This window comes from Homo sapiens, chromosome 12, assembly GCF_000001405.40.
Source record: "Homo sapiens chromosome 12, GRCh38.p14 Primary Assembly".
NCBI lineage: Eukaryota > Metazoa > Chordata > Mammalia > Primates > Hominidae > Homo > Homo sapiens.
The window spans coordinates 102,072,713-102,085,420 of NC_000012.12; the positions used below are offsets into that span (position 1 = coordinate 102,072,713).

The 12,708-nt window shown below is 36.8% G+C and overlaps 1 protein-coding gene across 2 annotated transcripts in view; it reads right to left on the reverse strand.

The window, feature by feature from the left end:
* Window positions 1-390: 390 nt before the first annotated feature.
* NUP37 (nucleoporin 37) overlaps window positions 391-12,708 on the reverse strand; it is a 47,012-nt gene continuing 34,694 nt past the window's right edge. The window contains exons 7-10 of one of the 2 annotated variants that reach the window (NM_024057.4): window positions 4,610-4,791; window positions 4,085-4,135; window positions 2,289-2,382; window positions 391-1,755 (exon numbers count right to left, since the gene is read on the reverse strand). In NM_024057.4, the coding sequence (NP_076962.2) occupies window positions 1,642-1,755; window positions 2,289-2,382; window positions 4,085-4,135; window positions 4,610-4,791 (441 nt within the window). In that variant the 3' untranslated portion in view covers window positions 391-1,641. Of the gene's footprint in view, window positions 1,756-2,288; window positions 2,383-4,084; window positions 4,136-4,609; window positions 4,792-6,349; window positions 6,505-12,708 lie in introns of those variants that run through there. The other variant, XM_047429530.1, reaches the window with a different exon arrangement.

Consider the following 12,708-nt stretch of genomic DNA (forward strand, 5'->3'; position numbering starts at 1 on the left):
AGTTCAAAATCTTCTTATGAAGGGGTAAACAAAACAATTTATATCATTTGGTTATAATATTTAACTGTATTAAAAAATTGACTAGGAAATTGCTATAAAATTTTTCATCTGTACTTTAAAGCATGTAAAAGTTGAACCCAAACATCTACATGGTTATAAAATTTCACTGAATTCTTTCTTTTAATTACCTGGAACATTCTCCTATCTCTTAAAAATATAATGTTCTTGATTCTACAATTATTTTAAGACACCTTAAGAATAGAAAACTGGAGTAAAAAATATTTACTGGCATTAAACATAAATCTCTAAAACCTCAAAAATAAGACCTACTCATCTCTGAAATAAATAATTTCTATACATCTCTGAACCACGTGACAGACACATACTAGGTATTTTCATTCACCTTTATTTAATCTTTACAGCAACTCCACAAAATAATGATTCCTATCTGTACTTTACAAGAGGAAATGAAGCTTCAAAAAGGGCATTAACTTGCAGGAATGGGCAGTTTGTCAAAATGTATTGGATTCTGTATGTGACTGACAAGCAGAACCATAATTTTATATGCTTCTGACTGTACCATGATGTATCCCAAAAATGTGATACAGCTGTCTTAGATAACGTTGATTTTAATGATCTTTGAGAGGGTGAACACAGTTCCATTGCCAACAGGTCCCATCTCAAAAACACTTAAGTTTCTTGGTAAGAACAGTGAAAATTCACAAAAAGGAGGCTGTTAAAGGTATACACTAGAAGTCATTTTTCAAGGTAACTTTTGATCCCATATATCAGATGTTCTAAGACTGTTAGAACACCTCGTCCAAAGGAATCTGCGTATAATAAACAGGGTTGAGCAATATAATCAATCACATATTTAAGAAACTGAAAACAATTTTTTACATTAAATTGAGTACACATACACATATATATACTCAACAACCACTTCCAGAATACCCTAAGATATTTTTTTCTCCTTGGATTTTTTTTCTTTTGAGATAGTCTCGCTCTGTCGCCCAGGCTGCAGTGAAGTGGCACGATCTTGGCTCACTGTAACCTCTGCCTTCCAGGTTCAAGTGATTCTCCTGCCTCAGTCTTCCAAACCATGCTTGGCTAATTTTTTTTATTTTTATTTTTTTAGTAGAGATAGGGTTTCACCATGTTGGCCAGGTTGGTCTTGAACTCCTCACCTCAAGTGATCCACTCCCTTCAGCCTCCCAAAGTGTTGGGATTACAAGTGTGAGCCATTGTACCTGGCCTTTTTTTCTCTTTTGATAAATGTGTCCCTGAGAATTAGAAAAACAGCATATACTCAAAGTATAGAAAACAGGATACACTTCAAATACTCCTTTTTTGATAAACTCAAAAGCATTATTTTTCCTTAGTCATCTCTTCTCTGGAGGTGAGCTGCTGAGTCAATATGATTTTGTAAGATTAAAAATATATATATATACACACACAGAGAACAGAGTAGAAAAATAATTTTTCAAACCATCAACATTTTATTTAATAAAAGCAACTGAGACATTTTCTAAAGTATACGGTATATTTGATATAAAAATTCTTCAAAATATGTACTATAGAAATTCTTCAAAATATGTACTAAAAATACAAAGTTTGTGAATCTAAGGTACAGAAAACACTTTATACTTCAGTCACCCAAAACAACAGCTTGTGGTCTCCTCCAATTACACACAGAGGGAGAGTTCGATGCCAGGACAGTCCAGATCCAACGGCTACAGAACCCATGAGGATGGGCTATAAAATATGTGAAGAATTAAAGAAGCACAGTAAGTCCCCAAAATTAATAAATAAAAATGACTTTCAAAAATATGAAATGCATTGATGATTTATCTTTGTAGCATAAACAAAATTTAAAAATATGCTCCCTTACAGGTGAAATACACATTATTGATACGCAGCTGAAACATGGGATACAATCCATCTATGAATAACTGGTACAGTCCAGACTCCATTTTTGCAGTCTACACCAACCAAACAAGCAAAATTAATGTATTTAAATAAAGAAGAAAATATAAAAGCAACAGAATAAAAAGCTTCTTATATGAATACTGGCCAAAAAAACCTGTTGTCACTGGTAATGTAAACATCAAAAAAAAACCACACAAAAAACAAAAACAAATGAACCACCTTTTCTTGCAATTTAAGCAGATAACAAACGTAAATGTCTTCAGTCAACAAATTACAAATTTGGGGCTATGAGTGGAAAAGTCAAAAACACAAATTAAAAAAAAAAAAAGCACGTATGTTACAAAACATTTCCACATTACCTGAGGGTGTCCTAAATGATGAATTTGAAACTGGCTTGCCATTTTGCCAGGATAACCAGTGGTTGCAAACAGATTTTCACTAATTGTGGACCACCTAAGAAATAAGGAAGCGTAAAATTAAGTATCGTATCCTATGGATAATGACAAGCTTTTCTGAAGCGGGCTTTTTCTTTTTCTTTTTCTTTTTTTTTAAGAGACAGGGTCTTGCTCTGTCACCCAGGCTGGAGTGCAGAAGTGCTAACAAAACTCACTGTAGCCTCAAATTCCTGGGCTCAAGTGATCTTCCCACCTCAGCCTCCCTAGTAGCTGGGACTACAGGTGTGTACTACGATGCCCAGGTAAGTTTTAATTTTTTGTTTTTTGTAGGAATGGGGTCTTGCTATCTTGCCCAGGCAGGTCTCAAACTCCTGGCCTCAAGTGATCCTCCTGCCTTGGTCTCCTGAAGTGCTGGGATTATAGGTATGAGCCATAGCACCTAGACAGAAACAGGTTTCTTTTTGTATAAAACCAGTGATTTTAATAATCCTAAATTTGTTAATATGTCTTTACAATTAGACCGGGAATTCCAGGAAAATATTCCATAAATATTTTCTCATACTTTAAGTTTTATGAAGTGCTTATTTTGTGTCATTTCATTAAGTTCCAAAGTTACACAAGGTTGATACAATCCTTTTTTTCACAACCAAAGGGGTAATAGTGTGGTAGAAGAAACAAATAAGGCATCAAATATGACAGCCATTCTGCCCCTTTTCCATGCTAAGTGAAGCCTAACTTTGTTCAGGGCACAGTGTGTCCTACCCTAGGGGATGAGACATAATTAGTTTAAGGCAGTCATAGCAATCTCCCATAAAAGGAGAGGGTTCCTTCTTCTCCTCTTACTTTTTTTTTTTTGTTTAATTGTTCGGCAAATGGAGTACTTCTCTTATGCCTGGAACTCTCACAGCCATCTTGTAACTATGAAGCAACAAGTCCCAATCCTTGACACTGAGAATAGCAGAGGGAAAGGATGAAAAGGGTCTGAGCTCTTGATGACATTGATGAGCTGCTCAACAAGCCCTGAGACTACCTCCTCTAGACTTATAAGTACCATAGCTCATTGATTTTAAAATTGATGGATACTTGCTCATTGGTGTATATTTGTTCACACATCTCTGAAGTCAGGATGTATCTTAACGATCCATGGCATTCTTACATTTAGTCGAATGTATTTTATTCTTAATAATGGTATCCCTAAGTTCTACAACTTATTGGAATATAGCATATAATAAAATTTCACTGGTTTTAGTCTCTTATTTGGTTTTGCTGTTACTTAAAAAGCAGAAATAATGGCTTAAGGACCACACTATACAATGGAGTATTATGAAAAAGAACAAGGTAGACATGTATGTTAATTTAAGTGAAAAGCAAAAACATGTCGCAGAGATATACTATCTAGCATAGTTTCATTTAACACATAATAATAAAGTTTATATACATGAACATGGGCTCCCCTACATTTACATCCTTAACAGCACAGAACAATCAGGAAGCATAATATATTCCAAATTGTAGGGGTGGTAGTGGTGGAGTGGTTACATGTTTTTCTGTGTAAAGAAAATATTTGGAAAACAAATCAACTCCTTGTCTAGACCAAAAGACAAAGGCAATGACTTAGTCGGGAAAGTAAAATAACCACTTATAAAACAATAAGGGAAAAAAAAAATCCAGTGCAAAGAAGAGAACTACAAAAGTATCCCAGTGGTGGCACAGCAACGTCAAAAGATCAAATCACAGCTCCAACAAAAACGGTACATTACCTGAATAAGCAGGCTCGATCCATGTGAACAGGTCTCTTATTTTGAGGATAACTAAAAGATAATATTTTGCATTTTATGAATTATGTGTTAAACTCAAGTGGGTGAACTTAAGGTTTAAACAGTATTTTCTCTTTATAGGACAGAATGTCCAATGTGTTTAAACTATAATAAATCCTAAACAAGCAATCAGTTAAAACAGATGAAATACAATAAAGACATGACTTAGAACCACTGCAGGGAACCATCATGCAACAGGGTCAGTGTTTTTCTTATTTTCCAATATAAGTCAACATTGCACAGATCCAAGATTTCCTCTTTTGCACTGTCCTTTCTGGGTTACTCCCAGAGTAAATCTGCATAGCAAGTTTATGTTATATAAAAATCCATAGCTCTGGCCTTCTATAGGAAAGACTTGCTTTCGCTTGACAGCATAGTCTCAGGTATAACAGGATGGATGAGTGGATCATTTAGCAACAGTTACTGCCTTTTTTTGGTGTGTAATAGACAAACATATCAAGAAAGTACCTGGACCGAGTAATATCCCAAATTAACCAATCATTTCCTGCAACGGCTCCAACTTTGAAGGTGTTTTTTAAGCACCAGTGTGCTGACATTAATGGCACTTGTTCTGATTCAAGAGATAAAATAGCCTGTTGGGCCAAAAGATCATAAAACCGGATTGTTCCATTCTTCTCTGCAACCATTAGCTGTAAGACAGAAAAATAAAAAGAAACTCAATCACTTATCTCACTAACTATACCTGAAGTGTAAGCAGAGATTCACTGTTGTACGGTAAAATGTAAACATTTGCAATATACAGGTTCAGCATTCCTCATCTGAAAATCTGCAATGCTCCAAAAACTAAAACTTTTTGAGTGCTAACATGATACCACAAGTGAAAAATTCCACATATAAGCACTTAACACAAACTTTGTTTCATGCACAAAATTATTAAAAAAAGTTATATAAAATTATCATCAGGTCATGTGTATAAGGTATACATGAAACATAAATGAATTTCATGTTTAGACTTGGGTCCCATTCCCAAGGTATCTCATGTATATGCAAATATTACAAAATGCAAAAAATTCCAAAATCTGAAACCCTTCTAGTTCCAAGAATGTCAGATAAGGATCCTCAACCTATATTACAAATGGAAGATCAAATGTAAAGGAAGAGGCTATGTAAAAATCTCTAGAGAATATAAAAAACCTTAGAGAAAACTGGCAAGATAAACAATTCAAGATTTGGCCGGGTGTGGTGGCTCACGCTTGTAATCCCAGCACTTTGGGAGGCTGAGGCGGGCAGATCACTTGAGGTCAGGAGTTCGAGATCAGCCTGGCCAACATGGTGAAACCCCGTCTCTACTAAAAAAAAAAAAAAAATTAGCCGGTTGTGGTGGCATGCGCGTAATCCTAGCTACTCGGGAGGCTGAGGCAGAACTGCTTGAATCCGAGAGGCAGAGGTTGCAGTGAGCCAAGATTGTGCCACGGCACTCTAGCCGGGGCAACAAGAGCGAAATTCCTTCTTTAAAAAAAAAAAAAAGATTTTGAGATTTGGTAGAATTTTAAGTGATGATGTGCCGTCACTAAGAAGAAGAGATCAATTTAACAATTCCTTCTGGGAAAAGTTACTTTTAAGTTATGTTAGTTATATTGTCTAGAAAGAATAGCTAAGTATGTATCTCTCAAGAGAGACAGACATTTATGTGTTACACATACTTATGCAACTGAAGTTTGTTTCTAGAATGGAAGGCAGGGCAGCATAGTTAAAGAGCACAGACACGCCGCTTCCTTCACTTATAAGCTGAGTGACTGCCATGTGACTGGCAGCTTTCTCATTTCTAAAATGGAGATGGGAGGATAAGAATGGCTGCAGGATTGTTGTGATGATTAAATAGTAATGTGGGTAAAGTACCTCAATGTAATGCTTGACAAATAGTAGCCACCCACTCAAAAAATAGTAGCTATTACTTCACTATTTCCTTTACTCTAAGATACCATTGAGTTAAGATGTTTAATACACTGGTAAGTTTTATGTGTGAAATACTTTATCAAACGCACAAATTAATTATAATATAAATTCCAATTTTACAAAATAATAAAATGTGAAAAAATTTTTCTTAATCTCAAGGAATCATGGCATTGCTATACCCATCTGTGGGAGATAAGGTATGAGATTGCTACGAGTATCTAAGTGCATGAGTAGTTGATGCCTGAATAAAATGCTTTTCCACTCTCTACATCTCTGTAAAGTCCTTACTTTTAAGCAGTGTTCTTTTAATTCTGGTTCTATTAAGTTGAAAAATCCTTGAGGGTGTAAATAGTAGTGGTAGATTGGCAAGAATGTGGGATTTGGCATCAAAACTCCTGAGCTGTACCATTTAAACCTGTTGAGTGACCTGGAGTTATCTTTCATATCTGTAAAATGGAGGATAATTATATCAGATTCAAAAACTTACTGTATGGCTAAAATGTGACTGTTCTTTAAGAACGTACTTTTGTACTTTCCTAAACACATAAAACATCATTTATTCTATTATTCATCTAACAGGCTTTTACTGAGCATCTATGTTATACACACACACATGGATAGTCAATTTCATTATTCATGGTAGTTTGTTATTATAAAGTTGCTGCAAACACTCAACTAGTGAATACTGAACCACTGGGGAAATACACAGTTAGGTTCCCTGCCAGCCTTTTTGATGACTGATCAATACGTAGCTTTTGAAAATTGTGCTTCTTTTTAAAGATATCTTACTTAATATATACTGATTCATTAATATAGACCTCACCATGAACAGTGCTATAACTCATGCCTAAACAAAGCTTACCTAACACATTTATTTTCTTCATAAGGCACATCACAGCCTTCTTGCACTTAGAACACTAGCCAGCACTACATTACTGTGCTTGGGGATGATTTTACACAGTAAAATTTTACACAGTAAAATTACCCACAAAAAGTACAAAAATGTTAAAAATGTGGCACTAAACTGACGAGGAAAAGACACATATTTACAGTATGAAAGCTAAAATAAGAAGCCAGAGTTCACCTTGTTCAATTTTAGGTGAGCAAGTGCACATAAGCGGACTCAAACTTTTTGTTGTTCTGTGCTCCCTGCGTATGTCTGTGACTAAAGAAGTGCTATGAGCATTGATTTTGGGGTTACAAATAAAGTTTAGTGAGGAGGGAAATTCAAAAATACAAAATCTGTGAATAATGAAGATCTACTGTATACATACATACATACACAAAACACTGTATTAATTCCAACAGAAGTCAAAGATAAAGGACATAATCCTTGATCTCAAGAAACTTTCTATCTAGAAAAGAGAATTATGAAAAAATCAGACAATAATTTAAGGCAAAATGCTCTAGAGTACAAAAAGGAATTATTTCAGAATATAGACAATGTTTGTTTGGAATTACAGTATTCTTAATAGAAGAAGTGGAATTTGAAATTATTCTTATTAGCCAGGCGAGGTGGCAAGCACTTGTAGTCCCAGATACTCAGGAGGCTGAGGCAGGAGGATCACTTGAGCCTGGGAAATAGAAACTGCAGTGAATTATGATTGTCCCACTGCATCCAGCCTGGGCCACAGAGTGAGACCCTGCCTCAAAAACAAAACAAACAGAAAACAAAAATGATTCTTTAAGAACAGGCAAATGTTAAGATAATACTAATGCTACTAACAATAAGTACAATGAGGTCAATGACAAACACAACAAAAACAAGTATAACACTGGGGTAAGAGCTTTACATGTCTGCTTTATTTAATCCCCTAAACCACTGTATGAGGAAATTACTATCGTTAATCCCATTTTTCAGATGAGATTGAGGCTCAAAGTGATTCACGTAACTTGTACAAGGTATCAACCCTAGCCCATGATGGAGCCTGAATTTGAATCCAGGTCTGTTTAACTACAGTGCACACATGTTCCCTGCTACAAGGCTAGGCTGCTGAAGACTGGTGAGTGGTCTAGTGTGCTATAGTATGCAGTGGGGAAGGATCAGAAAAGGTAAGAGATCGAGGAAAATTCACCAGGACCTAGTAAAAATATTTGATATTTTAAGAGTGACTTGAAAGATCTTGAGAATTTCAGGTATAACTTATGGACTACGGAAGGGCTAAGTCTACCTGAGCCTGGTCCGAAGGTAGTAGGGGCAATGAACAATGAAGCATGGTAAGCAGGTGTGCAGCCTCTATGGCCAGACTGCCTGGATGGGGCCCAGCTCTGCCTTCAGGAGCTGTAAGATCTTGGGCAAACGGCTTACCTTTCTGTGTTTCGGGTTCTTATCACTAAGAAGGGGCTAATAAGAGTATCTACTTGATAGGACTATTGGGAGAATGGTATGAGTTAGTAAATATAAAGCACTTAGAACTGTTTTGGCACAAAGCAGGCACTCAAAAAACATTGGCTATTATTATAGGTTAAAGTCAAATTAAAACTCAGTTCTAACAAAAGATTTTTGTTATTTACTGTCTGTATAACTGTGCTCAATTATGACAAATCTTTTTTTGGGTGATAAGAACAGATAGGGTAGAAAAGTTAAGTAAGTTTGGGAGTAGCTGAATCTAAAAATGCTACAGGGGGAATTTTTCCTTTAGGAATTTTCAGAAGTATAAACAATACTATGCACTGTGAATTTCCAAGGTGGAAATACTTTAAGTGGCACAGAACATTGTCGTATTTGAACCAGATTGAGTTCAAATCTGTCACTGTGTGACCTTGGGCAAAATGCTTGAACTTTTGGTGCTTTGGTTTTCTCATCTACAAAATACAATACTACTACTGTCTCTGCAGTGTTTTGTGGGGATTAAGTGAGAATACATGTCAAGTACTTAGTACAGTCCCTGGAAAATAGAAAGCATTCAACAAATGTTGGCTGTTAAACCTATTTCATTTAGCTATTTTTTTTTTTTTGAGACAGAGTCTCATTCTGTTGCCCAGGCTGAAGGGCTCACTGCACCCTTAACCTCCCTGGCATGAGCAATCCTCCCACCTGAGCCTCCAGAGTAGCTGGGACTACGGTCGAGCACCACACCTGGCTAATGTTTGCATTTTTAGTAGAGATGAGAGATGAGGTTTCACCATGTTGCCCAGGCTGGTCTCCAACTACTGAGCTCAAGTGATCCACCTGTCTCGGCCTCCCAAGGTGCTGGGATTACAGGCATGAGCCACTGCTCCCGGCCACATTTAGCTACTCTTTAACCTCTTTTTTCTTAGGGTCAGAGACTGAGATGTCCTCAGTCCCAATTCTTTGATCCCGTGACATCCTGAATCCTTGGTCCTGTTATTAGTATGCATTGAAATCCTAGCTCCTATTGAGTCTTATTGGATTTGGGAGCTTAGTTTTTGGAGGTCTCTTGACTTTTGTATATTTTACTATCTGTTAAATTCTAGCCATTTGTTTTGTGTTTTCCTGATCTTACGGCTTTTTTTATGGTTTATATCTCTTGGGATTTTCATAAGAATTCTATGAGATAGGTAATCATGAACTCATATCTTTCTTCTCTAGCTGCCTTATTTTCATCAAGGCCAAGCATAAGAGGCTAACAATTCTGGGCTTGCAGAGCACTGAAACGACTGTAGAGCACTGTAAATGACTGAAAACGTATGGCAGAGCACTGAAAGCCATTAGGCTTGTTATTGCTGCAATAATAGTATCAACGATGACCAGCAGCTAAAATTGACTGAGTGCTTACTATGTGCTTTTTAAAGGATTTTACACGTTAGCACATTTAATCTTATGTATCCATTTTATAAGATGAAGTGAAATCAGAGAAAGTTTAAGTAACTTGTCAGAGATCACACAGCTAGTAAGTGGTGAAACTGGGATCTGACTCCAGGCAGTTAATTCAAGAGTCCACACTCTTAACCACTTCTCTGTATTCTAGGTTTCTGAGTTTAGCAGTGATAGGATGAAACTGATATTCTAAGACTCTTAGTCTAGTAGGCAAGAAGAATCAAAGAGTAAAGAGCCAAAGACTTTAGAAACAAGCTAAGGCTTGGCAAGTTAGGCATGAGAAAAGAAAGGGGGAGAATGCACCTTAATGAAGAGAAGAATGCTAGAGTTAGTGAAAATGAAGGAAAAATTAAAAGACCTGGAATAGTTTGTGTATAGGGAAAGAAGAATTAAAGATGATTTTAGGATTCTGAGTTTATGTGATTTAGAACAGGGACTTTCAAACATTCTGAAGTCATGGAAACATCATAAAAGAAAGGAGATGGGGTAAGGTGGAATTTTAATGATATGTAGGAGAAAAAACAAATTAAGTTAAAGCATATGGAAGAAAGAGATAAAAAATAACAGCAAGAAATTAAGCATTAAGATGTAAGTTTTGGGATAGAAGTTGTAATAAATGTTCTCATTTGTCATGCAGGTCATAGTTTTTAAAAAGCAGTTTATTGTAGTTATATATGGTGATATTAACATTTTGGTAGAAACTGTGTGTTTTAAGTAGACTCACTGCTCTCAGGGAGAAATGTAGGCATAAAACAAAATTTAGGAACTGGACTCAGAAATAAACCTATCAATTTAATAAGTTAGAACATTTCACTCATGCACATATGCAGAGTATAATTCTACTGATGAAAGACTCAATGGGCCTGGAACAAATTTCCATGAAATCCCAGGGTTCAGAGCACACACTTAGATACAGTCTGGGGATTATCTCCTCTGTGAAAGCTGCGAGAAGATTTGGTTAATCCTTCTTTATGTCATCATTCTACTTAATAGATTTTTTGATTCTAAAACTTATTTGTGTTGCTGTATTTACATGTTTTTTCTCCCTTATACATCAGTATACTAAGGACTTTATTCATTCTTTTATTCCCTATTACAATAAAGGGTACAGTGTAGTGACAATTAACCCTTGAAGCAATTCACAAATATATGGTGAAAGAAAAGTTGGCAGAGTATAAAGAAAAAGGGAACATATACGCAAAGTTGCTCAAGAGGACTCAGATAATGCGGCTTTAAAAATCAAACTAGCAGTTTCAAGAAGGAGGTGATCAGCAGTGTAAAACACTGGCTGGAGAATAAGAATGAAGGAAAAGGCCACGGGATGTGTTGAAAATATCCCTGGTACCTTGTGAGACAGTAGTGGAGACTGACTGAGATTATGGTGTTAGACCAAGGGATGGGAAAAGACGAAATGAAGTTAAAAGGTACAAGTGATGGATTCAAACATTTAGAAATAAAAGGTGTGATGAAGATAGTTTAAAATTAAAGGGGAGGTGGAAAAAGGGAATTTTTAAGAGCAAGACCTATGGAGCTGGGAGGCATATGTTCAAATACCTATTCTTCCACTTAGTAGCTGTGTGACCTTGGATAATTTATTTAATTTCTCTGCGCCTTGGTTTCCTTATCTGTAAAATGGGGATAATCACAGTGCCTATCTCATGTTCCCATGAGGAATAAATAAGCTAACATACATGAAATGCTGACTATAGGCCTGGCGTATGTAAGCACTACGTGCTTGTTATGATTAACGAAACTTATCTTCTCATGCAAACTTGAGGACAGAACAGAATCAACAGAGAAAAAGCATGGAGATGGCCGGTACGGTGGCTCACAACTGTAGTCCCAGCAATATGGGAGGCCGAGGTGGGCAGATCGCTTGAGACAAGGAGTTTGAAACCAGCTTGGGTAACATGGTGAAACTGTTTCTACAAAAAATACAAAAATTAGCCGAGTGTAGTGGTGCGTGCCTATAGTCCCAGCTACTCGGGAGGCTGAGATGGGAGGATCACCTGAGCCCGGCATACGAAGGTTGCAGTGAATGATGAATGCTAGAGTTACTGGAAATGAAACTTGGGGCCATGCTTGGTAACTACCAGATTAAAGGTTGGTTAATTGTGCCATTGCACTCCAGCCTGGGTGACAGCCAGGCTGTGTCTCAAAAAAAAAAAAAAAAGTATGAAGACATTAGAGGACTGTGGGAGCCTAAGGAACTACCATGAACTTTAGAGAACAGATGAAGAGTTAACTTTAAGAAAGATGATTGTAGTAACTTCTCAGATTCTAGGGAAACATACAATAACTACAGTGATGACCAAGAGAAGATACTGGCAAATGAGAGAATTCTTGTTTAATGGCTCCTAACTTTCCAATGAATCAGCATTAAGGGTAGTTGATAATAAGAACTTGTAGTGTATTTTTAGTATTTTAGAAAGCTCTATCTTGAATAGGAATTGAACACTACTGTAGCTAAGACAAATTTGCCTTATGCGACTAATGTTTTTTGTTCACACAGTAGGGCTCACAAGCGTGGATGATGTAACTTAAAACAAACAACAAACAAACAAACAAACAAAAAACTGCCTACTGGGCCAGGCATGGTGGTTCATGCCTGTAGTCCCAGCACTTTGTGAGGCTGAGATGAGCGGATCATCTGAGCTCAGGAGTTTGAGAGCACCCTGGGTAACATGGCGAAACCTCAGCCCTACCAAAAATACAAAAAAATTAGCCAGGTGTGGTGGCATGTGCCTATAGTCCCAGCTACTCAGGAGGCTGAGGTGAGAGGATCACTTGAGCCTGGGAGGCGGAGGCTGCAATGAGCCAAGATCACACCACTGCACTCCAACCTGGGTGACAGAGTGAGACCCTGTCT